Source organism: Homo sapiens, chromosome 14 (assembly GCF_000001405.40).
Source record: "Homo sapiens chromosome 14, GRCh38.p14 Primary Assembly".
Taxonomy (NCBI): Eukaryota; Metazoa; Chordata; class Mammalia; order Primates; family Hominidae; genus Homo; species Homo sapiens.
In genome coordinates, this window is record NC_000014.9 from 78234476 (window position 1) to 78262189 (window position 27714).

Consider the following 27714-nt stretch of genomic DNA (forward strand, 5'->3'; position numbering starts at 1 on the left):
AGGTCACATAGGCATCAAGTAGCAGGTCTGAGATTTGAACCCAGGAAGTCTGGCTCTAGAGCCCATGCCTTTAACCACTACATTATCCCGCCTGCATGAGAGGGGCACTCATCCTAGCACCAGTCTTCTACTTTGGACCCTAGAGGCTAACCATCACCATATCAAGCCCACACTTGGCAGAGTCTGCTTCTCACATTTGGTCCACCTCCTTATATTATTTAGGCTCATGTCTTTCCTTTCTACTAACATATAAGTGCCTTTCAGGGCTTGAGCTATTTTTATTTATTTATCTGTATGTCTGGAACATGGGTGCTCCATGGTTAAACAAAATAAATGAAAAACTTTCTTTTCATTCACTATCTTTCAGCTTACCTACACCTTTCTCAGAGTATGACTCAGAATAAAAATTCAGTGACTGGTCAGATTGACACAGATGATGATCTCTTTCTTCCTATAAGTTATATTTCAATTAACATAGTCTAAAATTACATTTGATTATCTGGCAGCCACAAATGCTTTTATATATATATATATATATATATATATATGTGTATATATATATGTGTGTGTGTGTGTGTGTGTCTTTTTGTCAATTTAATTTCTCAATTCTTGTTTACTATATAGTTACAAATTGTACCTTCCATCCTTATGGGTTGTTTATATTGGAGGATCAAGTTGCATTCCTTTCCATTTATCTCCATCAAATTTTGTCTTATTAGATATAGGCTGTAGTTTTAGCCTATCATGATCTCTTGGAGTCCCTTCAGCCTCACCTGGCACACTCATAACTCTCAGTGTCAGTTCATCTACACACATGATTATTTGGCTCTCTCCATCTTCACTGGGGCTCTTGATAAACATGAAAGATGAGATCAGGCCTGACCTCCCACAAGAGCCTGTGTCCTAATGGGTTTGCGCCTTCTTTGAATGCTGTTCTTTAGCCAGTGACCAGTCTTCTTGGTCTGTCTGCCTCACAGTTCTCATATCATGAGAAGATCTGCTGAAGTCCATATATAACTCATGTGTATCTCTACCATAACAGATCAGTATTCTTGACAGAAAAGGAATTTAGGTTAGCCTGACATGACTTCTTAGTTCTTGGGAAAACTTAGTTTTTAGTAAAAAAAAAAAAAAGTGTTATAGTTAAAGGTTAAAAAAAAAGTCTCTTCCTGTCTCTCCCCATCTCCATTCCGCTTTCAGCACAATATAAACTTCAAATGCTCTTTTCTATGTGTCCATTTGTTAAGAACAGAATTAAGGTCCTTGGAGGCTGTTTCCCCTTCTTTTTCCTAAAGGGTAAGGCTTGGTGACTAAGACTAGGATCAGCTCCGCAGATTTCAGGAAAAGAAGAGAAGATGCAAGAAGGGTGGTATTCCTAGACATGACCAAATTATGGGAGAGAGGACTAGGGTATAGAGTGGGCTCAAAAGAGAGGACAGTGAGCTTCCTATTGCAAAGCATGGTGGATATTTGCCCTTAGTTTTCTAGAAGAGAGGTTGGTTTTGACTTGGGGAACTGTAAGAAGGAAGTTCCAGCCTACAAAACAGGAACTAGTAATAATTTTCTTTAAAACCCTTCTTCAAGTGACATAACAAAAATAATAGATTAACATATATATGTATCAGGAAGTGCATTAAGTTGCTTTTATTGAAATATAGCATACATAGAGAAAAGCACATACATTGTAAGTATACAGCTCCCTTGTTGCATTTTCACAAACTGAACACATTACGCAGAATCACCCAGATCAAGAAACAGGATTCCTTCACCCCTTTGCCTTCTTCTAATCATTAACCACTATTCTGACATTTAACAGCATAGAATAAATAATTTTGCCTCTTTTCGGTTTACATAAATGAAGCACATACAGTATGTGTCTTACTTTGCTCAATATTATGTATGTGAGATTCATCCACGCTTCTGTCGAGATGAAGAGCAATCATTCTCAAAGCTGTATAGTATTTTGCATGAATAGACTACAATTTATCCACTCTACTGCAGGTAGACATTGGGTGATTTTCTAGGTTTTGTCTATTATGAATAGTGTTGCCATGAACATTCTCATGCATATTTTCAGTTGGACATTTGTAAGCATTTCTGTTCGTGTATACCTAAAAGGGTAATTGTGGAGTCCTGGGGTAAAAATGTTCAGCTTTAGTAGATACTGCCAGCATAATTTTCCAAAAGTAGTTACATTTTTATAAATTTTTAAATTTCATGAAGTTCAAAACTGCCCTATGAGATAGGTATTATTCCCCCCCCCCTTTTTTTTGATGAAGAAAGACTCAAGAGAGTTGCCCAAGGTTAAATAGCTATAGGAATGAGAGTCTGGGTTTAAATTCAGCTGTGCCTGCCTCCAAAGCCCATGTTCTCTCTCACTAGCCTGAACTACTTTTATATCTTTGAGAGAATTCATGCCTTAACCTCCCTCACTACATGCAGTAGAGCCTTTGCTGTTGTATTAAGATAGATAGTGCTGACTATGTGAGCTTGCCCTAATGGTGTGGTGTCTGGAGGGGTACAGTTTAATTGAGGGAGCACATTTCTGAGGTTCTTGTATAAGAACAAGCCTCTGTCCACCTGCAAAACACACAAGAAGAGAAACAAGCCCATATCCTATGCCTTTGTTCAAGTGCATGGGCAAATGGGTGTGGAGAGCATTGATGGCAAAGGTGGGTAAGACATGAGGCTCAGGTTACAGGGAGTTCTGGGTGTAGGTGGCCATATGAGATGGAAGCTTCTGCTAGTTTGTCAGTGACAACAGTTTTTTATGGTCCAGTATTAGGAGTGTATGAGTCAGGACTCTTGGTCACAACCCAACTCAAACTTGCTAAAGGAAAAAAAGTTTTGGTTCATGAAATGGAAGTCACAGGATTCATTGGGCTTTAGGTCTGGCTAGATCTAGGTGTTAACACCACTAGAAATCTGTTTGTATCTATTTCTTGGCTCTGATTTCTTCCTTGTTGTTTTCATTATTAGACAAAATCCTCTCCAATGGTGGAGATGGATCATACTCCACCAGTAATGATGGTGTCTGTCAAGTTTGAGCTTCACTCTAATAATTTGTTGATGTGGTAAGAAGAGAGAGGGGATCCTTTTCACGATAATTCCAGTGAAAGTCCCGGCATTAACTCAAATTCAACTTCAAGTCTGGGTGAGAGACCCATCTTGAAACTAATCACTGTGGCCAAGAGATTGGAATGTCCCAGTTGACTAAACTGGATCATATGATTTGGGATTGGGATGAACCTCACCTTGAATGACACAGAACGAGATTGGTGGTGAAAATCATTTACCTGCAAAGTGGGGTGAGGGGAGCAGTGAACATGGGGCAAAACCACCAGAGAGCCACTGGAGAGATTTTCCAGTCCTGGTGAGGGCAGGTCATAGGAAGCTTCTGGAAGAAAACCTGGTAAGCCCCACCTGGGGACTGTGGGATGCCCGCAAAGGCTGGGCACAAGGACAGTCATCATCGTGACTTCCTAAATCAAACCCACTTGTAGACAGTCCGACTTCCTTGAGTCTGTCTCAAGCTCAGCTAAAGCTCCAGGCAGTTGGAAAAGGGAGGAATGAAATTGGAAGGAGGGGTGGGGAGGGCAAATGGCAGCCAGATCTTCTGAGCCACACCTTGTGGCAAATAGCCCACATGTCAGAGTTGTGTGAGCCCCCCCCACCACACCACCCTGCCCCCTCCTAAGCAGCCGGCTTATGAGACATTTGCAAAGATGTTAACCCCACATAAAAAGTGTGCCGTTCGATAATTATGTAAATTAGCTGACAATTAGATAATGTCACTCACTTTCCCTCTCTCGCTTGATTCCCACACAACAGAGAAGTGTTCTGAGCTTCTGCACCAGCCCGGGCCCTGCATGCAGGCTCTGGGGCAAACCACCTGTGTGCGTGGCTGCCTGCGTTCTCCTATGGTTCAGTAGAGGGTGGCAGTTGTCTGGCCAGGTGAAGAGGGCTCCCTGGCTCCCGTTTTGCCATTTCTTGAGTCTAGCATGCCCCACCAGAGGGGCAAAGAAGGCTGAAGGATAAACGCTGGCAGCAGTTGGAGGCCTGCGATATTTAGTGTAAGGGCATCTCTAGCTTTTGGCCATTTTGGCAATTTCCCAGAGGCTGCAGGAATGTCCAAAACTAGGAATGAAAAGGAAGGGCTGTAGGAAAGAATGTGGATAGACCATAGAGGGTTAAGTCTACATAAGCCCACTTGTGATGTTATCACTTCTGAAACTGGATTCTGCCTGTGGGAAAGAAAGCTTGGGTTTCCTCAGTCAGCCTTTTTGATCCCCCACAATGCAGGGCAGGGAATGGTGGTATCCCCCAGTGCTGGTCTGGGCTGGAGGGGAAGGATGAGGGACTGAAGGAATGGGGAGGCTCAGCCTGGAAGGGGTGTGTGGCCCCGACAAAGCAGGCTAAGTGCCCATGATCTTCCCCCACAAGGGAATGTTTCTGGGCAGCAGAGTTTTTCATTCATGGGTTTCCTCAGGTCACTAAGCATGTGCTGCTTTGCTCATTGGGGTCATGTGAGGTTGGCATCCAGAGAGGCATGGGGGTTCAGGATTGATGTCCTTGTGTAAAGTGGGGTTGTGTGGAGGCCACTGCATGGAACAGAAGTCAAATAATCCACAGGAACATTCTTCCACTTCTGCTTTTACTGTTCATTCTATCTACAAGTGCTTCCCAAACTCCAGCTCCATGACGAGGCCCTGTGGCAGACACCGTGTTGAAGCAGTCATTGCCTCCAGGGAGCCCCCCATCAGCAATCTGGTTCCAGAGCCTGGGCTCTTAATTGCCGTGCTTTACTGTCTCTGAAGTAAACTTGTCCCCCACTAGTTTGTGATGCCCTGGAGGGTGAGATTGGTGTCTTTATTTTGCTTTGATCCAGTAGTGCCTGGAATGAATTGGAGCTCAATAAACAGTTGAATTGAAGGGTTTTCTCTTTCCTTTGAGATGTTGCCCTTTGACTTGGTTGGCATACCTCACCTCATACAAGGAATCATATTCTTAGAAATTGTGTCACGTTTCATGTCCTACCCTCCTGTTATCCATGTCCGGCTTCATGTCTTCCACTCACTCCGCTCCAACAGCACCTACCTCCTGCTGTTCTTCAAGTATACCAGCTTGCTCCAGCCTCAGTTCTTTTACATTGACTATTATTTCTGGAACATTCTTCCCAGATACTTACATGGCTGATTCCCTCACACTCTTTCAAGTCTTTTCTTTTCTTTCTTTCTTTTTTTTTGAGACAGAGTCTTGTTCTGTTGGAACAAGTGGATGGAGTACAGTGGCACGATCTTGGCTCACTGCAAACTCTGCATCCCAGGTTCCAGCAATTCTCCCTGCCTCAGCCTCTCGAGTAGCTGGGATCACAGTCGCCTGCCACTGGGACTAATTTTTGTATTTTTAGTAGAGATGGGGTTTCGCCACATTGGCCAGACTGGTCTTGAACTCCTGACCTCAGGTGATCCACCCACCTCGGCCTCCCAAAGTGCTGGGATTACAGGCGCAAGCCACCGTGCATAGCCTCAAGTCTTTACTTAAATTTCACCTTCTCAAATACTCTTTGTGGTGTTTGCCTTTTTTCTGGGGTGTAAATACTCCTTGCCTGTTTATTTCATGCTACCAAAGTCATGCCAACCAGTCAAAGTTTTTGAAATTTTAGCAGTTGGCTCTCACAAGCCTGTATGAGTTGGCACCAGCATACTCCTGTGTCCATGTCTCAGCTGAGCATCCCTTGAACCACTGGGGGTACCTGTGTGTATGGTAAAAGCACTTGATAACAATAACTTGAGCATACCCTGAGAATGACCCTGCATGGCAGATGCACTTGAATGTGTGTGTCCTACGCTAGGGAACCTGGGAGTGGCCAACCAGGAGATTCATTCCTTCTCTATGAGGAACATATAAGCCCCTGGCTGGTCCCATGGAACATGGGCTATACAGGGGATCAAGGCCCTTTGTTTTAGGGTAAATGAAGGTTGCCAGATAGGGACTGTTATGGGGAGGGTGCTAAGTAAATATGCTGTGTAAACTGCATGCCTTTTGCAAGCAGTTGCAGCTCTCCTACCCAGCTCACCACCACTGGACTCTCTCCTCTGGATGTAAGCTCCCCGTTAAAACCCATTTCTCATTTGTCAGCTCTGGGATTATTCTTCTGCCTCTTGAACCTGGTACCTTCCTTATCGGAGTCTATGGAAGTTTGGCACAGCACCTGTGCCACACTTTAGGGAACATTGCTTGGACAAAGCCTTTTATAGAACAAAGCCTTTCCTTATAATGGATTTAATCAGCCCCTTGTTCGTTGGGTTTGTTTGTTCATTGGGAATAGGTGTTTGTTCCTGGTTAAGGAACAGCAGCTTCCTCTTCAAAGAAGGGGTAATAACTAGCTTTGCTGATGTGGTTATCATTAAAATAGGGGATAGTAATGTTCTGATGGAGCCCATGGTGAATTATCAAATGTGCCAGGTAATAAGCAGCAACTTGCACAGCTCCTAGAAATCACACTCACTGTTTGATCTGAACAGAGAACTCAGGCGGGCCAGAGTCTGCCCTCAGAAACCAGACTGCGTGCTGGTGCATTTCTAACTGTTTCTACATCATCATAAAATATATGTAATATACTCTAGGTCATTTGGAACTATCCAGTGTCACTCTAGGAATTTCTTAACTATTCAGTTGTCATCCATTCTGCAGTTTTCATAATCTTTTTCAGTACTTTTGTTTTTACACATTGCTCACTCTATAGCCATACATACATCCACACATACACAGACATACACAAATAACCCCTCCTCCTGTCCCTTCCCACTTCAGAGATAAAGGAAGAGACCTAGGATTTGTTGTCACCTCCTATGTATAAAGCCTCATGTGGCCAGCAGCTGTGGCTCATGCCTGTAATCCCAGCACTTTGGGAGGCCTAGATGGGGAGATCAGAAGTTTGAGACCAGCCTGGGCAACATGATGAAACTCCGTCTCTACTAAAAATACAAAAATTAGCTGTGCATGGTGGTACATGCCTGTAATCCCAGCTACTTGGGAGGCTGAGGCAGGAGAATTGCTTGAACCCAAGAGGTGGAGGTTGCAGTGAGCCGAGCTCACGCCACTGCATTCTAGCCTGGGCAAAAGAGCAAGACTCTGTCTCGAAAAAAAAAAAAAGGCTTATGCTAGGATCTTCCTATACCTGATTTCATTGATTCCTCTCTTCAATCTTGGGAAGAGGCTATTATTTTCTCTACTTTACAAATGAGGAAATAGAAGCTCAAATAGGTTAAGAAATTTTCTCAAAGTGCCACATACAGGAGCTAGGATTCAAACTCAGCCTTTTTTTTTTAGAAGGAATAAAATAATCCTCCTCTCTTAATATTCAGTAAGAGAGGAGGATTATTTTACTCATTACTCACCTTCCAGTTTATTTTCACTGATTTTTATAAACATTTCTTTCACAAATTTAGGGGTAGCAATTTGCCTTAGGCTTCCTACAGTGAGTTGTCAAATTGAAAAGGAAAAATCTAGAAAAAAGTTAATGTCATTTGCAAGCTTTTAATAGGTAAATAAGTAAAAATTAGGTGTGGGTATTTGAATATATAAAATGTTAGCACTTATCTTAAAAATACACTTTGACAATGTGACCTTGTGATGTGAATATTCTAATAATGTGCTGATATGGCTTTGGGGATTTTTATTATTTTTACATATGGAAAACCTGAGTGCATCATTAGGACCTGGTCGTCTTGTAGTGGCTCTGGAAGAACCCACGGCCTCCCTCCTGTTTGAAGCACTAAGCACTGTAGCAATCACTAGAATAGCTTGGCTCGAAGTCAGCATTCCATCAATACTTGTGAAATAGGATGCAATGTTTTCCTGATATATGGTCCTAATCTTCCTCTCCTTCTCCCTCCCCCTCTTCCCACAGGTCTTTTCTCTGGAGTCCTGGGAGGCAAGTTATGGGCAGCACTGCTTCTGGCCGCACCATGAAGCCTGAGTCTGCTTGCGCTCTGCCCAGGGCCCTGCTCTGTCTGAGCATTGGGCTTCTAGCTGCCCCCCTCCCCACAGCCTGCCGCTGCTAGGAGGTAGAACTTTAGGAGTGGTCCTTGGCCTGTTTCTACCTGTCACCTGGCTCACCTCACCACTCACTCCTCCTCCATCACAGCACCCCGGCCCTCCCTGTCCCTGGCCTCCCTGGCTGGGGCATTTGGGGGTCCGCTGGGAGGAGTGCATCGCTGAAGGCTTCTTCCTACTCTCCTGCACCTTCTCCTCCTTGAGTCAAGGCCTCCGGATCCACATGGATAGCTGAGATCTTTTCTTGGAGAAAGACGCTTTCCTCTTTACTCCAGTCCCTCACTTCCCCACCTGATTTTCCTCCTCTTCTGCTGGTCCTGTCTTTTTCTACTGCCTCTTTATTCAATTTCTTGCTTGTGTGCCCCTCTGGGACTCTCTTGTACACTTTCCTCCATCTCCACTATCTCAGGATCTGTGTGTGTGCTGCCTTCCTCCTGTGTGCTTTCTGTCCCCCCATCTCTGTCTTGTCTTTCCCACTTCTATTGCCAAAGGGAGAGATCCTCTCCGGGCTGTTCCCTGGCCTGTCTGCTCCTCCGGGCTCTGTCCCAGCAGCGACAATGAGCTCCACACTCCACTCGGTTTTCTTCACCCTGAAGGTCAGCATCCTGCTGGGGTCCCTGCTGGGGCTCTGCCTGGGCCTTGAGTTCATGGGCCTCCCCAACCAGTGGGCCCGCTACCTCCGCTGGGATGCCAGCACACGCAGTGACCTGAGTTTCCAGTTCAAGACCAACGTCTCTACGGGGCTGCTCCTCTACCTGGATGATGGCGGCGTCTGCGACTTCCTATGCCTCTCCCTGGTGGATGGCCGCGTTCAGCTCCGCTTCAGCATGGACTGTGCCGAGACTGCCGTGCTGTCCAACAAGCAGGTGAATGACAGCAGCTGGCACTTCCTCATGGTGAGCCGTGACCGCCTGCGCACGGTGCTGATGCTTGATGGCGAGGGCCAGTCTGGGGAGCTGCAGCCCCAGCGGCCCTACATGGATGTGGTCAGTGACTTGTTCCTTGGTGGAGTCCCTACTGACATACGACCTTCTGCCCTGACCCTTGATGGAGTTCAGGCCATGCCCGGCTTCAAGGGGTTAATTCTGGATCTCAAGTATGGAAACTCGGAGCCTCGGCTTCTGGGGAGCCGGGGTGTCCAGATGGATGCCGAGGGACCCTGTGGTGAGCGTCCCTGTGAAAATGGTGGGATCTGCTTTCTCCTGGACGGCCACCCCACCTGTGACTGTTCTACCACTGGCTATGGTGGCAAGCTCTGCTCAGAAGGTAAGACCCTCTCCCTCTCTTGCTAGAGACCCACCCACGGGATGGCTGAGGCTGGGGCTCCTGATACAAACCAGTTCTATATGGATGCATATCTTTAGCTGCATGTTAGATCACTGGGCCCCTTGCCCTAAGGAGGCAGTGGAAATCCTTTGCCTACTCTTAATGGAGAATCTGTCAGATCTCAGCAGGAGTAGAATCCTGACCCCTGAACCCTGGGCTCTGTACCCTACTCAGAGGGTTAGATGAAGTAGGCTGCAGGGTCTGCCCCAGCTTGGCCCCTCTCACTGCAGCACCGTTTATCACAGTCAACCCAGGGCAAGAAATCAGATAGAAATTGGGAATTTCGGCTAGGCAAGGTGGCTCACACCTGTAATCCTAGCACTTTGGGAGGCCGAAGCGGGCAGATCACTTGAGGTCAGGAGTTGGAGACCAGCCTGGCCAACATGATGAAACCCTGTCTCTACTAAAAATACAAAAATTAGCTGGGCATGGTGGCGCACGCCTGTAGTCACAGCTACTCGCAAGGCTGAGGCAGGATAATCGCTCTAACCTGGGAGGTGGAGGTTGCAGTGAGCTGAGAATGCACCACTGCACTCCAGCCTGGGTGACAGAGTGAGACTGTCTCAAAAAAGAAAAAAAAAAAAAAGAAAAGAAATTGGCAAATTTCTACCTGTGTCTCTCCTGAGCCCTTGAGGTTTGGACCCTTAGGGATAGCTGGGAAACTCCCCATCACTTCCTCTTAATCATCCCTCACATAAAGAATGCCTGTGCAAAGAAAAATGAACCCAGTTCTTCTATTGGGGCCCACCCCACCTCCCAACCCTCTGGGAGGTGTCTAGAAGGTGGATGAGGCATCTGCGCCAGGCCCTTCTTACCTTTTTGTTTTTGGCAATGAGGATTTCTCACATGAGGTACCTCTTTAGATGTGGTTCCCTTTCCCATCCTCTCCATGTACTGAGAACATTGCAAAGAGGCACAGAGATTGACTGCAGTGTTGTTCAGCCAAGCCTCCAAGGGAGCTGAGAGTATACAGCATAGCCTGGAGAACCTCCCAGGTTCAACCGTGACTTCCCAGGGAGAAGCAGGGAGGCACAGAGGCTTAGGTTGCCCTCCCTTGCTCACCAAATCTGACTGTTTGGGGTTAGATCTAAGAGAGGTGGCTCAAACTTTAACTTGACAAATACTTAAAATCCAAATTCCTGGACTTACTCACGGCTTAGATTTGGGTAGCAGGAACTGCTGACATGAGAAGCTGAGAACCAACCATACAGGTATGTATGTTGAGAGGTTAGGGTGACAGGAGGCAAGGAAGTCACATTTCCTTCTATCCTTTTAGGATTAAGCCCTGGTTTCTCTTAGACGGGTTTTATGTTGCCATCCCCTACTGGTCTCTTCGTGGAGGTGGTGTAAGGTATAGGGCAGAACAGTGGTTCTCAATTTAGCTGCATGTTAAGATTGTCTTGGGGGAATTTAAACTCCAGACCACACCCCAGGCTAATTAAATCAGAATCTCTTGGCATGGGATCCAAGCATTTGTATGTTTTTAAAGCTCTCCACATAATTCCTGTGCACAATCAAGGTTAAGGACTAACTAGTACAAGATCAAGGGAGGCCAGATGGCTGGTGCCAGGTGGGTGGTGCCAGGTGGGTGTGGCCAGGTGAGTGCCTTGCCACCGATTCCCAAGATCTCTTCATTCAGATAAGGCCCTGCTATTGGGATGTGTAATTAAAGACTGCAGGTGTTCCTTAAGTGTTTCCAGAACATCCCAACCCCTAAAGCAGGTTGTGCTTGATGTGAACCTTAGCTATCAGTGGCTATTTAAGAATATTTAAAAAAATTAAAACAAAATTTATTTCCCAGGTGGTACCTGCTGGAGACTGGAACATATCAGAGGTCTTGTCATGCATGGGCTATTGCAGGAGCTGCCTGGGTCTCCACTCCTTTCTTCTAATGGGTTGGGCATCACAACTTTCTCCCTTCCTGTGGGTGGGCTGTCAGAGCTGGAGATGCCAGGCATATATATCGTCCTTATTTGGCTTCTGTTTTTCCTCCACTGAACCCACTGGGAGAAGGGGTGGGGAAGAGGCAACCCCAGTCTACAAACCATTTTGGGAATGTGGTTATTGAAGTGCTTCTCACAAGCAGGTGCCTTCTGGAGCTGACTGCTGTTCCAGAGCTTCTTGGCTTTGGAGAAAGTTCTGCCTGAAGACGCTGACATGATCACTTGTTTTCTCATTCGCCCAAAGGATCTGTTCTGTTCTCAAAACTTGTATTGAAAGCTGGCATTCTTCCTTTCTAGGGACCAGGGTGTTTGCAAGTGTGTTGTTAGCTTGCTGATTATCCCTGATTGCATTTTTGTGTTTAAAAAGAACTCATTTCCTTGGGGCAGGTTTGGATCAGCACTTTTCCGCAGGAAAAAAAATCTCTATACTGTATATGTATACAATTTGCTTTTCTCTTCTTTTTCTTTTTATATTTTGTGTGTGTTCCAGCTCCCAGTGGAATTTCTTCAGAGCAGATTGTGTGCCATTGGTTTTTTAATAGCTAAATGCAATATGTATATTTTAATAATTGTTTTTTTTTCCTACAAGGTTCAGATCATCTCCTGGCTACGGATTGATACCCCTATCTGTAGAAGGCAAACACACATCCTAACTCATTTATTCTCCCCATACATAAATAGAGTAAATAAACTGCCGTAACAGTAACACTTGGCTGGCTTGGAACAGAGCAGTGCAAAGGTTGAGGTGAGAGAGGATGTTGCGGGAGGTAACAGAATCTACTGTTGATTACTTGGAGCCTGTTGATCCTGGTAATTGTCATCAAGTCTAATCAATCACAAAAATGCATCACAGACTATTAGAAAATAACCGTTGCCTCCACACATAGTTAATTTTTAGAAAGTAAGCAGAAAAAGTCACCTGTAAAATGTGAAGGGAAAGGAAATCACAGCAGCTGCTAAGTGTCAAATAGATCTACACAAAACAAGATAATGTCTGCCCATTTTTCCAAAGATAATGTGGTGAAGTGGGTAGAGAGAAATGCATCCATTCTCCCCACCCAACCTCTGCTAAATTGTCCATGTCACAGTACTGAGACCAGGGGGCTTATTCCCAGCGGGCAGAATGTGCACCAAGCACCTCTTGTCTCAATTTGCAGTCTAGGCCCTGCTATTTGATGGTGTGAAGGCTTGCACCTGGCATGGAAGGTCCGTTTTGTACTTCTTGCTTTAGCAGTTCAAAGAGCAGGGAGAGCTGCGAGGGCCTCTGCAGCTTCAGATGGATGTGGTCAGCTTGTTGGAGGCGCCTTCTGTGGTCCATTATCTCCAGCCCCCCTGCGGTGTTGCTGTTTGCTTGGCTTGTCTGGCTCTCCATGCCTTGTTGGCTCCAAAATGTCATCATGCTGCACCCCAGGAAGAATGTGCAGGCCCATCTCTTTTATGTGCTTTGGGCTATTTTGATTCCCCGTTGGGTATATTCCCTAGGTAAGACCCAGAAGACACAGGAGGTAGTTGCTTTGGGAGAGTTTGGACCTATGGGTATGAGGTAATAGACACAGTATCTTCTCTTTCATTTGGTGAGACTGTTAGCTCTGGCCGCGGACTGAATTCCACACAGCTCACTTGGGAAAACTTTATTCCAAAACATAGTCACATTGAACATTGTGGAGAATGAGGGACAGAGAAGAGGCCCTAGATTTGTACATCTGGGTGTTATGTCTATAAATAGAATGCTTTGGTGGTCAACTAGACTTGTTCATGTTGACATTTAGTCTTGCCTTTTCGGTGGTGATTTAAAAATTATGTATATCTTGTTTGGAATATAGTGGAGCTATGGTGTGGCATTTTCATCTGGCTTTTTGTTTAGCTCAGCCCGTCCTGTTATGGGCAGCCTTGAAGCTCAGTAGCTAATGAAGAGGTATCCTCACTCCCTCCAGAGAGCGGTCCCCTCACGGCTCATTGAGAGTTTGTCAGCACCTTGAAATGAGTTTAAACTTGTTTATTTTTAAAACATTCTTGGTTATGAATGTGCCTATATTGAATTACTGAACAACCTTATGGTTGTGAAGAATTGATTTGGTGCTAAGGTGTATAAATTTCAGGACCAGTGTCTCTGAAGAGTTCATTTAGCATGAAGTCAGCCTGTGGCAGGTTGGGTGGAGCCAGGGAACAATGGAGAAGCTTTCATGGGTGGATCTCTACTCCAAATCTACCTATGTCACATATCACTCATGCCATCACATTTTACGTTGATTCAGTAGAGGGAAAAGGTTCTAGTCTACTGACAAAGAAAAAGTTGATTACTTGTCTTCTGTCTTCTCCTGTGGACTTGAGTGGGTGCCCAGACCAGAAGCGGTTTGTCTCGATACTTAGCTGTTATGTTTTCAAGTGTTGGAATCCTCTAGTGAAGTGTCGTGGTGGGTGTTGGTGATAGGGACCACAGCCTTATTATAAGCACACCGTTGTGTGGTCCTCAGTAGTGACTAGCCACCGCCCCCCGCCCCCCCCCCCCCCACCCGCCACCTCCTGTTGTCTGAAGCTCAGATCCTACTCAGGTCAGTTTGACTGATGGCTCAACACCACTGTGTGGCCTTCGCATGCCTTCCTGAAAGTGAATTTCAATTTCTTTTTTTTTTTATTGAGAATTTATGACTCTTGCCCCATCTCTCAAAGCCAAGACTAGGATGGAATGGCATATACCAAGAGGAGGCTGCTTATCCCTGAGCATTTACTGAGGTCCAGAGACATCAGATACTGTAGTGAAGGGACCAGTGGTTGCCTCAGTTGGATCCTCCTGTTTTGGGCACTTGTGTAAGAACCCGGTCATTTCCTCTCCCTCTCCACAGTGCACATGCTGCTTGAATTATAACATGGCATTGTTCCCAATCTGTGTCAGCTCTGAATGGCTTTGAGAAGGGGTGGGTGTCCTGCAGGGAAGTGGAGCATAATCAGAGAGTAAAGGATTACTCCTTTCTAAGTCTTCCCTGGTTTGGGAAGGAGAGAACAGAAGCAGGGCCTTAAAATGTACACAAAGGAGGGACTGCTGCTTCTGAGACTTGATTCCCCACCCAGCATTCAGGTTTTCCATGGGACCAGCCTGACTCTCCACCAGCCCAGCCAGCAGGGGCTGTCACTAAACGGAGCCTGAATAGGGGTCTGATTGCTCCTTTTTCCTCCTTTCCTCCTGATTACCAAGTGAGATTTCCTGGGTATACTGTATGCTAAATGGCAGAGCAGCCGCCTGCCACTTGCTTCAATTATCCCTCTTTTAACTGCTGAGGGAAAAGCAATTTTTTAAAATCTCCCCCCTCCCCTAACATCTCTGCCTCCTTTAATGAAATAAGACCCTTCTTCCATGTTCCCCCTTCAATGAGGTGAAAGCAGCCTTCTCCTTTTGCAGAAACCGCCCACCAGCTGCAGGCTGCAAAGAGGGTGGGCAGTGGATAATGCTTTGGTCCAAATTCAGCAAGGCTGAGGGTCAGGCAGACATTTTGCCAGGAGCCTCAGAGTAGCACGTGAACTTGCATTTGCATTTGGTAATGAGATACCACAGGACCGATGCCGGGGGCTAATTATTTTCAAGACCCCTATCTCCATTTGCAGGCTGCTCCAGAAAGATGGTTTCCAGTTTCTGGGGCAGCTGTCCTTCAGCTGGGTCCTCTTTCTCCTTCACAGGGCAGATGAGGTGGGGTGTGTGTTGCAGGCTGCACTTGGGGGATGGGACTACCATGACCCCCTTTACTTGCAGTCACTGGCTCCATAGTATGGGTCCATCACAGTGAGGCCCCAGAGGCAGAGCTAGAGTAAGGGAGGCTTTAGGGCAGGGCTCCAAAGGTCGAGTGCCCTTCCTTACACAAAATAATAATGATATTATTACCATTGCTCTTATTAAATACCACCCTGCGCCTGACATTCTAGGTGCTTTTTATATTCATTGGCTCATCTATTTCTCACAAAACTCCTATGAAGTTAATACCATTAGCTCCATTTTACGGATGAGGAAACCGAGGAACCGAGAAATTGGGAACTTGAACCCCCCGTTTGGCATAGTGGATAAGAGTATGGCTGCTGGAGGGAAAACGATCCGGACTTAAATTTGGGCTTGTCTACTTACATGTTGTATGGCTCTGGAGAAGGTTTTTGAAGCTTCAGTATCTTCTTTAGTAACAATGATAGCTAATAATCACAGAGCACTGGCTCCAGGCTCACACTGTCTTAGGTGCTTTTCATGCACTAGCTCTTGAAACCCTCGCAACCACTCTTGACATGCGATTATGATTCTCATTTTTTTGGATAAGGAAGCTCGGGGCAAGAGGTTAAATAACTTGCCCAAGATTGTGCAGGTATTAAGAGGCAGAGCTGCAATTTGTGTCTAGACAGTCTGGCTTCAGAGCCTACACTGTCAACCACCATGCTATCTTGACTCTCAGTGAAACAGGAATCATAAAAAATCGTACATCATGGAGTTGTTGAAAGGATTTAATGAGATAAAACATGAAGTTATCTGCCTAGACTCCAGGAAAGAGCAAGTTCTGACTCTGGGCTATTGGTTTCCTGGCCTGTGTAAGAACAAACTGCACATCAATTTGGTTTCACAGGAGATTTGATGCTTCCTTTTGAGCGACCCCTACCTCCACCAGTTTCCCTTATCCCAGTCTGAAAGGTGGTAGAGATAAAAGGAGGGGAATTTTGGAAGTGTACAGAATCCAATTTCATTCCATTTGCTCCTGCCCAAGAGCATGGGGCTGCTGACAATGGTTATGACTGCGGGATGGGATTCAGGGCTCTGCCGGCAAACGTGTGGTGTTCTGGCCTCAGCAGCCACCCAGTGAGGCAGGTAGGGCAGGCCTTAGCATCCCACTGAATAGATGAGACCCAGACCCTGAACGTGTCATGGGTGCAAGGGTATGAGGGCAAGTGTGGGTGCTGCCTTTGGGCAGCCATCTCTAGGACCTGAGAGCCCAGGCCCTCAATGTGGCATTTTACCTCTGCTTCTGGGCTCCCTCAATAAACTCAAATGGCCTGTGTCTCTGTCGTGAGATGGAGCATTGCCTCCCTGGATGCGGATGATAAGCAAAATGTCAAGTTCCTGGTGCAGGAGGTTATCAGCTTGGCCTGTCTCAGGGGCTTTGTTCCTTCTAGCCAGAGAGAGAGAGAGAGAGAGAGAGAGGGAGAATAGGAAAGAAAATGAAAATGAATGAATATGAGTATAGTATTCAATTCCCAGCCTCAAAACTCTGGTTTTAGTGAAGTGACTGGGATTGGACCCAAGGCTCCGGAGGTAGTTGGAGCACAGGTGCACCACACCGGAGCTTCGCTGGACAGGATGACCTCTTCAAACTTACCTTTGGTTTCCCAGGTACCAGGCAATGCCCATTACCTCACTCAGGGTTGGTGGTGAGAGTTGGAGCTCCTGGATTCCTCTGTCAAACTCCTCCTAACTTTCCTGCCTTCAGCTTCTCTCTGCATGTAAAAAAAAACAATCTTTCTCTGTTTCTTCTTGTCTATTCCTTTGTGTGTGTGAGAGGGGGAGATGATTACAGAGGTGGATTTACCATGAAACTAAGCCTTTCGTACATTCTCAGTTGCACGGGTCCCTTCTAAGTCTCCACACCTAATTTTGTATTTGCAATTTCTTTTTCTTAAGGACTCCCAAATATCATAAGCAACAGGTCCCACCTCTGTGGATCCGCCTCTGTTAACACAACTTGTTGCTGTCCGTGACAGCAATGTTGCTCTGGGTGTATGTGTGATTTCATTTTTTTCTTCTAACCAGTGACCATTCATCACAGACACATTTTCTACTTCATAACCACCATAGGTGGACGAATCAGAGCTAGGGAGTACAGGAGGGTGCAGGGAATATAGGAATGTCATTTGGGAAGGTGTGGTGGGAAGAGGAGATGTCTAGGATATCCACTGGGAAAAGGGAGGAAATGTTTGGAAATATTTGCAGTAGATTTAGAGGAACAAGGTGGTATTTAGACAGAGGGATCACTCTAGTCATCCTCCTGAGGGTTTTTTCCCTGCTGAAGTTGGGAGGTTTAGTTTGCTGTGGCTCACAAGGTAAGGGGGAGTGGGGGGTTTGCTGGGAACTGTGTTGCAGGTATCAGGCTGTGGCTGGCAGAGGAGGACAAAGTATGGCTCTGCAGGCCTGTCTCCCTGGTCTATTTGGGAACTGACATTGCCAGTGGGTTGTCATTATTGCTGTTGTTCTCCAGAAATTGATGTCTTTGAGTGATCTATTTAAAAACAATACGGGACTCCCTTTAAATGTGTCATCGTCTATATCCGCTCTCAAACCTTGACTGTGGCCACAATGTTCCTAAATAATGTATTTTCCAAAGTTTTTTTCTTTTTTTTTTTTTTAAATCCTGGAACTGGTACCAGTAGCTTTTAAAAGCAAGCTGACCTCATAGTCATCCAGAGAAACTACCCAGTTGCACTCTGTGACAAAACTTACTTTGCATCTAGTCCTAGAAATTGTGAACTCTTTGGCTCTTTGGGGGAAAAACAGTGCACCATCCAAAGGTATGCAAGGGCATAAAGAAGGTAAAGATGAAAGAGAGGGAGGGACAAGAACTGTAGGCAATGTAAAGCTCCTGGCTCAAGTTTTCTGGCTGTGAAATGCATATAGGATCCTTTTGGTTTTACTGAGAGCCTTATTTAAGTACGGTGTCTTTGTAGCTAAGAAAATGACTCTGGGGAGTTTTCCTTTAAGTTTCTCGATGAGATGCTATTCATCCGATCCTCTCCTGACACTTTTGCCTCTGATCTGCTAGCTTGGTTCTCTTGAAGTTGTTCTGTTTGCCCGTGTGAAGTCCTTAGAAGACGGAGTCCCAACAGTCCTGTGGTTGATTGCTGGTAATGTAGGACTGGTGTCTCCACTGTAGCAAGCAGTACATTTCAGGCAATTCTGCAATCTCTCCTCCAGGTATGATTGGAAATGTGTTGCCTGCAGCTCTTGGAGAATAGAAAAAGTACAGTGAGAGTGTGTACAGCTTATTTACTTAATAGGTTGCTTTCAAATAGAAAGGAGTACCCACTTGCGAGGAGGGATACGCTGGAAAGCAAAGCTGAGATCACTTCTTTGTGATCCACATCATGGGGAAAGGGCTGGACAGGCTGGGAGTTTACCACACACTCAGTTTCTTCCTTCCTCCTCATTCTCTCAGGCTTCTTTTCTTTCCAGACGGGGCCCTGTATCTTGCATGGTTAGCCTTGAGAGTTAAGAGAATGGGAAAGAGTGGGCTTGAAGGGCACTGAGCTCTGACCTGTGGAATCCTTGAAAGACAAATCCTCCCACAGTATGTTTGCTCTGTCTGGGCCAGAAAAGACAAGGCTGGAGTTTAGGCAGAGGTGTTGTACAATCACATGATGTGCTTTGACTCACGGCTTAGTTTTAAGGAAACACACTGAAATTTGGGGAGATTCTGGTGTTGCAGGAGAAGTCTGTGAAGGATGAAGTGTGGATCATGTGGCCCTGTTAGAGGATGCTAAGACATTTATTATAATGTATTACTTTCTAGCTGTGACTTTGCCCTAGGTAATGTACTGGAAACCAAGGTACATTATAAAGTATCATGGGAGTCTGGGCGCTGTGGCTCACGCCTGCAATCCCAGTACTTTGGGAGGCTGATGATGGAGGATTGCTTGAGCCCAGGAGTTTGAGGCCTGCCTGGGCAACATAGCGAGACATCATCTGTACAAATAATTAAAAAAATTAGCCAGGCAAAGTGGTGCATGCCTGTGGTGCCAGCTACTTGGGAAGCTGAGGTGGGAGGATCGCTTGAACCCAGGAGATAAAGGCTGCAGTGAGCTGAAATCACACCACTGTACTCTAGCCTGGGCAACAGAGTGAGACCCATCTCAGAAAAAAAAAGAAAAAAACCAATCATGGGATAATAAGTTTAAAGGGGACTTCAAAAGTCATTGGATCTAAGTACTCATTTCTCATCCTCCTCTGCACTATATAAAATGAGCCTCCCCGTGCCCCGCCCCCCCGCCCAAAGAAAACCTGCTAGCCATCTGCAATAATGGGAGCTTGGTGCTTTTCAAGGCAGCCTAATGTATCTCTGGTCAATACTGAGTATCAGGGAGCTCTTCTTTATATCAGCCCCAGCCACTTTCTCATTGGTCCTCATTCTATTTAAAGTAATCTGACCTTTGTAATGGGCCATGTGGGTGAAGAAGATGGGTGGGTTGATTCTAACAGTTCTGAATGATGCTTCGCAGGAATTAACCCTTGTGCCAAGGTAAAATTCTTAAGGGATTCTCTAATATGGTGCTAGCAGTACACATACCACTGAGTTATTTAGAATTAACTGCTTATGATTAATCTTAAACAGTGTGGGAGGGCTTGATGTGGGAAGAGATTTGATGTAAGCAGGTGACTCATACTCCAGTCATTTTGCTTCTGGGGAGCTTGCACTGTGAAAGATTCATGGTTAGCCCTATCTCTGGCTCTTTTGTCAGTGCCTCATTTTATCAACCTGTGATGTCCCATCTTCCCCCATACCCAACTAGGTTTTTAGCGTCTCTGAATTTCCAAGGAGCTTCCTGGAAATCCTGAATTTCTCTGCGACAAAAACATGGGGGCTGGGGACGGTGGCTCATGCCTGTAATCCCAGCACTTTGGGAGGCCGAGGCAGGCAGATCACGAGGTCAGGACATCGAAATCATCCTGGCCAACATGGTGAAACCCCATCTCTACTAAAAATACAAAAATTAGCTGAGTGTGGTGGCAGGCACCTGTAATCCCAGCTACTTGGGAGGCTGAGGCAGGAGAATCATTTGAACCCAGAGGTGGAGGTTGCAGTGAGCCGAGATCACGCCACTGCACTCCAGCCTGGGTGACAGAGTGAGACTCCATCTCCAAAAAAAAAAAAAAAGATTGGAAGTTCTGGAATACATTGGAGAAGATGAAAAGGGGATTGGATTAGACTTGCCTAACAAGCCCATCATGGTAGCCAGAGTCAGACACACCAACAGAAATAAAGATTTCGCTAAAAGGCCTAGTAGTATTTTTTTTCTTTTCTTTTCTTTCTTTTCTTTTTTTTAAAAGATAAGGACATGACATGAAGCAGTATTGAGTAGCTGCTCCTGGAGACAGGCCTTGGAAGCACATTCCCTGTGCGAAAATGCTTCTTACTCTGCCAGGTTGCTCTGGGTATCTCATGTTTTTGGCACTGTTGGGCAGAAGTCTCCCAGGGAAAGGGCTTAGGCAGGGCTGGAAGATCTTGCTCTCACATTGGCATAGACTGGAAGCCTGCCAAGCAAATTCGCTCCTGCACCCTAAAGGGGATGAGGCTAGTCTTGGCCGTCAGCCATCTCCCCATTGACAGTCATTTACCTGACACAGCAGCAGAAAAAAAAAAAAAAAAAAAGGAACCCGTCTCATCATTTTGTGGTTTAAAATAGTTTACTTTTAAGAGCAAAGCCCACAGACATCATTTTGAGTCCAAGCACTGAAATGGAATGAGAGTCACCAACTCGTCTGTGGTTTCATTGTGCAGCCAGGCCTCGGACCACACGCATGTGCTGGGAAGTGGGCGTGACCACCTCACACCATCATGTGGTCATTGCCACGTGGGCAGAGGATGGTTGGGTTTTAGTTGCTGTGGAAACTTTGCTATTTGCTCTTCCTGATGTTGAGTTTTCAGCCTTGTGTTAACACAGATTGGGGCTATTTTTTCCTCGTGTAGAATATATAACCAGTGGCTACATTTTAATGTGTCTCTTGGCTCCCTTTGGCTTTTCTATCCTTAATGCAAGTTGCGATTGCTCAACTGGGTTTCCTGATTCCTGTGGCAGGAGTATGTGAGGAGGTATTCTCTTTAGGAACTGTAAGACGTGAAACCAAGGGTGGAGGACTCTGTTTCCCTTAGTTAATGCACTTACAGGCTTGTTTGCTAAATGTCACGTCTCTGACAAAAAGCAGGTACTCAATAAATGTTTGTTGCCTTAATCACATTGTGTGTATATGCAGGTTTTATATGTGCACATATGTGTCTGTATTCATATATGTGTGTGCCTGTGCTCCCTAATGTGTGGTGGATGGATGCAGGTTCCCAGGAATATGAGCTCAAGTATATCTGTTGAATAAATTAATCAATGAAGTCAGGTCCAATCGGACCACACTGGCCACTGTTGGAAACACCTTCTTTCTTTTAATGGGAAAAGTGTCAGTTTTATTGTGGGACAGTTTTTGTTGAATCTGTGTCAAGCACATACACATTCCGCTTGGTTTGATCTAGTTGAGGATGAACTAGAAATACTTTTTTTTTTGGTTTGTTTACAAACCAATGATTTCCTATAACAATTATAGGCAGTAGCCAGCCTGGGACCATGTCAATGCAGTGGAATGGCTGTTTGAGGCAGGCACGTTGTTGTCACTGGAGATGGAGAGGCCCCACTCGCTCATGTGGATTCCCTGGGGAAGATGGAGCTCACTAGAGACAGGATAATTATCCTCAGATATTGGAAGTGCTGCCATGCAAAGGAGGATGATGATACACTGGCAGGAAAGCCGAAGGAATCCGAGCCACAGAGGAAGAATTCTCTGTTGGTTAGAGGTGTTGGACCACAGAACGCACAACTTTGGCAAGCTCTGTTCCCAAAAGGGGCACAGCAGGTGCCTTCGTGAAGCTATCAGGAGCATGTGCCAGCATGTGCATGCCTTCAATCCAAGGACTCTGTGGTTTTGGGGTCTTGGTAGCCAGGCCCACCCTCATGTTTGATTATGCACATCATGCACCCCCTTTTAGGGGGTGAGAAAGATTATTCTCTAGATCAGTGGCCTCCAAATAGGGCACAGGCCAAGACCATTCTTTGGGGATGCAGGACCTGACTTCATTGATTAATTTGTTCAACAGATGACATTGAGCTCATATTCCTAGGAACCTGCATCCATGCAACACACGTAAGTTAACAATGCATTGATAACTCATATGCAAGTTTTTAAATAAGTAAATATACATCTGTTATGAGAGCGTAGTAAATTTTTCTTTCTCATGGGGAATTTGTTCAGAGAGGGTGGGAGGCCACTGATCAACACTCAAATCTACCTTTATCTCTCTTTAATTAGTTATAGTTACTCCTGACTGCCTGTAGCAATCCCTTATCCCCAGGGCTTGCAGCTTTCAGGATCAGGTGATACCTAAGGCATTCCTGCTGCCAGTGGTGTATGTGTTGGGCTCCTTACTTCTGCCTTCAGTTCTGCCTGTGGTGGTCTTGATTGACCTGCCAGGTGGCTCTGAGGGCTTCATGGGGAGATACTCCAGTTACAGTTCCTTCTTCAGAGGCCTCACTCTGTTCAGGATTACTAACGCTATCATTTTTGGTATGAAAACCATGGTATGAACATTTGTTGGGGCAACTTCGTTTTGTGTAAGAGAGCAAAGTCTCTGAACTATCTCCAAGCTTTTGCAAAGCAATCCTTGAAGTATAATCATCTACTTGTTGGAACAGGCCATCTCTTTATTGGAATAAGTTTATTCACCTGACATTCACTACATGGATATCTGTAATGTACCAGTGTGATCCCTGCCCTTAAGGGGCTTATGGTCTAGTTGGGAAGCTTGTCAGGCAAAGAAGTATATAGCACATATCAGAGTTGCTCTAATAGCAGGTAGAATGTTTGTAAAGCAGCTTAAAAGGGAGCATGTTACCATACCTGGGTGTGGGCGCGTGCCTGTGCACTTGAAGTGAGAGTTAGGGATTGGAGGAAACTTTGCAGAGCAAATTCTTGGGCAGGACATGGAAGCATTAATTGGGAGACTGGGAGGAAAGGACATCAGGGCAGCTCTATGAGAGAGCAGCTTGCTGTTTCCAGCTGTTTGCGGTAGTCAATGTGGTTGGACCAAAGAATTGAGGCCAATGGGATAGTAACGAGAGGATGAGTTAGGGAGGGAATGTCTTAACTGCTTTGTAGGGATTTTGGACATTATTTTTTCCACAACCGGGAACCATTGGAAGTTTTTCAGTTGAATTGTGACACAGTCAGATTTGAATTTTAGAAAGATGACTCTAGGGCCAGTTTGTACAATGGATTGATGATAGGAAGGCTTAAGGAGGGAAGCTAGATAGAAGCTATTGTACGGTTTTGGTGAGAGAGGAGTCTGTATTAAGGGGTGGGTAGTGATGGAAGAAGGGCTGATTGCAGAGATATCAAGGAGAGGAACTTAATAATTAGGTATTAATTTTAGTTTTGGAATCAGATTGCCTGTCACATACTAAACTGCAAATTTGGGCAAATAATCTCACTTCTCTGTGTTTCCATTTTGCCATCTGTGAAATGGGGATTATAATAGTGTGTACCATTTAGGACTATTATGAGGTTTAAATGAGATAGTGCACGTAGAGTGCTCAGGACAATGCTTGGCACATAGTAAACCCTTAGTGAATGTTAGCCATTATTGTAATTGAAAAGAGAAAGACAGAGCTTCAATAATATGCCCTTCTGGTTGTAGGAATGTAGAACAGGAAAGCCATTGTGAGGAGCAGGTTTGGGGTGAAGATGAGAGAGGAGTAAAAATAGATTTTGATTTGGCCGTTATCCTGCCTTCCTTGCAGATCCTATAGGACCCTTGTCGGGAGATGTACAGGGGCAGGTGGGGGCAATGGTTGGCATTGGCGGGGGGAGGATGGGGGCTGCCACAAGTTTCAGGGTGGTTGTTGTGGTGGGAAAGACTTGGATGTGGATGAGGCTGCCTAGGGAAGGAATGTGGTTTAGAGGAAAAGGAGCCTAAATGTAGAAACTTTGGGAACTGTAATATTTAGGATCGTGGGGGAAAGGAATCCATAAGATAGACTATAGCAGATACCCAGACATGTAGAAGGAAACTAGGAGTGAAAGAAAATTCTTTAAAATTCTTCACTGGTGAATAAATGAAAGAGTGTACCTTCTTAACCTTCTTGAAGTTGGGGCTTGCAGTTGAAAATTACAATAAAATGATGAAGAATTGCATTGTTTAGTTTCAAAAACTATTCATGTTGGTTTTTCTTCTACCTTCAATGTAGTGAGGTCTGTTCATTTAAGAACATTCCTGGCCGGGCGCGGTGGCTCACACCTGTAATCCCAGCACTTTGGGAGGCTGAGGTGGGCAAATCACAAGGTCAGGAGTTTGAGACCAGCCTGGCCAACATAGTGAAACACCGTTTCTACTAAAAACACAAAAAATTAGCTGGGCGTGGTGGCGGGTGCCTGTAATCCCAGCTACTTGGGAGGCTGAGGCAGGAGAATCACTTGAACCTGGGAGGTGGAGGTTGCAGTGAGCCAAGATCGTGCTACTGCACTCCAGCCTGGGCGACAGTGCGAGACTCCATCTCAAAAAAAAAAAAAAAGAAAGAAAAAAAGAAACAATCCTACAAGTAGAAACTTAAGTCTCATATGCGGTGATGACGAACCTGAGGGTTTTGAATGTTTTTGCACATGACAGAGTTTCTGGCTCTTAGAACATCAGGTCCCATAAGAGCAAGAACTCAAAGATCTGAAAGAAACAAACGCAGAGAAATGAAGTGACTTACCCAAGATCAGCAAACTGGTATTCTAATTTGAACCTTGCACTTTTTTGAGACCACGTGAGTTAAACATGATTAAACATGAAATGCTTTGGCTAAGTTTTTCTGAGGGTCTGGCGTAGAACTCTTGGGGGTGCCAGTGCTAAAGCTCCCCTCAAAGCCATATACCTCTAGGGATCGAGGGAAGAAATTCTCCTACCTCTGGTCTCTGTGGGCTGAAAGAGTGAGATGCCCACACAAGAGATGCTGGAAGCCCTGGCTCAGCTAGCAATATAAGTGCTGGTAATTAATTCACTTGTGGTTTCTTTATCTCTGCCCAGAGGTGGGATGCTTGGAAAGACAGCAAAATAATTTAAGGAAATTGAGGCTCAGCTCTGGTTGCCTGCTTGCTGCCCTTCCTTCTGCCTTCAACTCTCTAGGACTGGGGGTGGGGGCTGTGTCTGTGCTCTGAATGCTTGCTGTGCATCAGTTTTCCAGGAATTTCAGGACACAGGAATTATCACCCAGCTGTGTTGTGTGTTGCTGTTCAGCAATCTGAAGTTGCTTATCTAGCGTAAGTCAGAACGGGGAGCCTAGGGAGGAGGGGCAACGCCTTCATTTTTCTAAGCAGAAGAGACTGAGGTGTTAGGGGCCCAGCTGGTATGCGATGGGAACCAAGAAATGGAGCCTATGTGGACATGCATGCTTTACACAAATTCTCTCGCTGAAACTCGGGAATGTTATCAGAAAGCTATCTCTTTCCACCTCATCCAACAACAATGCACACTATTTGAGGTTCACTGTGTGTCAGGAGAAGCACTGGTGGTAAGACTGGTGAGCAAGACAGGCACATCCTGCAGCTTAATTAACCAAGCAATTATAGAGTGGTGTATGCATTAAAGGAGACATATGTGTAACAGTGGTCTCTATGGGTTTATTGGTCTCTCTTCACATATGGCAGAGAAAAGACCCTGTGAAGTTCAGGAGTGTGATTAAGGTACTCCAAGAAGTCACACACAGGAGGTCCAGGGCTTTTACTGGACTCACTGTTCTTGGACTGGCTCTCCTAGCCTGGGTCTGTTGGCTGAGGACCACAAATGAAGCCAGCAGACTTAGGACTTACGCTTCTAAGTTTAGTGCCCAGCTCTAATCATGCTCCTGAGTAGGCCTTGATGATGCATTTTAATTTCATCCAAGTTGAAATGGTTTGGCTCTGTGTCCCCAGCCAAATCTCATTGTAGCTCCCATAATTCCCACATGTTGTGGAAGGGAGCCGGTGGGAGATAATTGAATCATGGGGGCAGGTCTTTCCCATGCTATTGTCATGATAGTGAATAAGTCCCCCAAGATCTGATGGTTTTAAAAACGGGAGTTTCCCTGCAAATGATCTCTTCTCTTGTCTGCTGCCATGTGAGATGTGCCTTTCACCTTCCACCATGATTATGAGGCCTCCCCAGCCATGTGGAACTGTAAGTCCAATAAACTTCTTTCTTTTGTAAATTGCCCATTCTCGGGTATGTCTTTATCAGCAGCTTAAGAGTAGACTAATACACAAGTCTTATGATTTATTCCTTCTTATTTTGATTGGGTAAATTTAATAATAATGACAGTTAACTAATTCTCATGAAGCACTTACTATGTGCTGGGGACTGGCCTAAGTATGTTCATGTGTGACTTCTTTCATTCTCCCAATCGCTTCCACCCAGGAAGGAGGTGGTGGTTGTCCTGGCTTTACAGATGAGGAAACTGTAGCTGAAGAGAGAAAGCATCTGTCTAAGGAAAGAGCCCAGGCAGTGGATGTGGAATTTGAGCTCTTTACTCATCTCTCTCTCTCACCCCCTATTCAATCTGGCATTGAATGGGGGCGGGGGGGCTCCTGTGGATATCAGTGACTGAACCTTGTCCTCGGCTGGCCCAGCTGGGGGGTCTCTAGCATGCAAAGACACTGCCAGTATTCATTGACCTGTCTTTTGACCTTCTCCCTCTCCTGCACATAACTGATTTTGCTCTGCTCTGATCCTGATTCAGACACATGTTCTTCAAAGAGAAACATACAAGCTGCCCTGGACTGCTTTTTATTCTGTTGTCTTATTCCATCTCATTGGCCATCATTGAGATGGATCTAGAACGATGCTTGGGCTGGAATCGCATATTCTCTCCATCTTTTAAAATCTATGACCTCCAGGTAATCTTTGTTACTGTTTTTGTTAGTCTGTTGTCCACCACTATCCAAAAGGCTTTTTGTCAAGATTTAGTGAAAATCTTTTACTTGTATTAAATTGTAAAGTGAATATTATTTCAATTACATTGTAAAGTGAATATTATTTCAATTTATATATTTCCCCAACTCATGCATTTTATTGCTTTACCCCTTCCCCCTCTTAAGCATCACAATCCAACCTCCTTTTATGAAACTGACTTAGGGAGGCAAGGTGACTTACAATGGGCCACTCAGGTAGCAAGTGGCTTGGGACTGGGACTAGAACTCAAATATCCTAACTCCCAGCCTAGCACTCATTCTCCTACATCACTCTGAAAAAAGATTTTGGCTAAGGAGAATTGATTGATTCAAAAGAACATCAATTGCCAAGCACAATCAGGGGTGATCAAAACAGTTATGGCGCCTGTCTGCAATGAACTTACAAATGAGTGGATTTTTTTTATGGAAAACATAAACCAATAAGTGTGTAATTACTTGTGATGAGTGCTGTAGATGGAAAGAACAGAGTGAGGGGAAATCTAATGAAAACCAGGGTAGTCAGGGAGGTGTTTCTGAGGAGGTGACATCCAAAGATGAGAAGGAGCAGGGGAGAAAGCCAGGCAGCGGGGCTGTATGTGTTCATTGTCATTTGCTTGGCTGAAGAACAAGATTGGTTAGTTTGATATC

At 45.3% G+C, this 27714-nt stretch overlaps 1 protein-coding gene and 1 pseudogene across 51 annotated transcripts in view; one reads left to right on the top strand and one right to left on the bottom strand.

Moving 5' to 3' along the window:
* Positions 1–27714, top strand: part of NRXN3 (neurexin 3) — a 1697919-nt gene that overhangs the window by 64103 nt on the left and 1606102 nt on the right. For all 51 annotated transcript variants that reach the window (NR_158973.1, NR_158975.1, NR_158974.1 and 48 more), the window contains exon 2: positions 7916–9327. Coding sequence is in view for 45 of the 51 variants with exons in the window: in XM_011537363.2 (XP_011535665.1) it covers positions 8619–9327 (709 nt within the window). In the remaining 6 variants the exon portion in view is untranslated. The remainder of the gene's footprint in view (positions 1–7915; positions 9328–27714) is intronic.
* TRSUP-CTA3-1 (tRNA suppressor (anticodon CTA) 3-1) lies at positions 20–92 on the bottom strand (annotated as a pseudogene).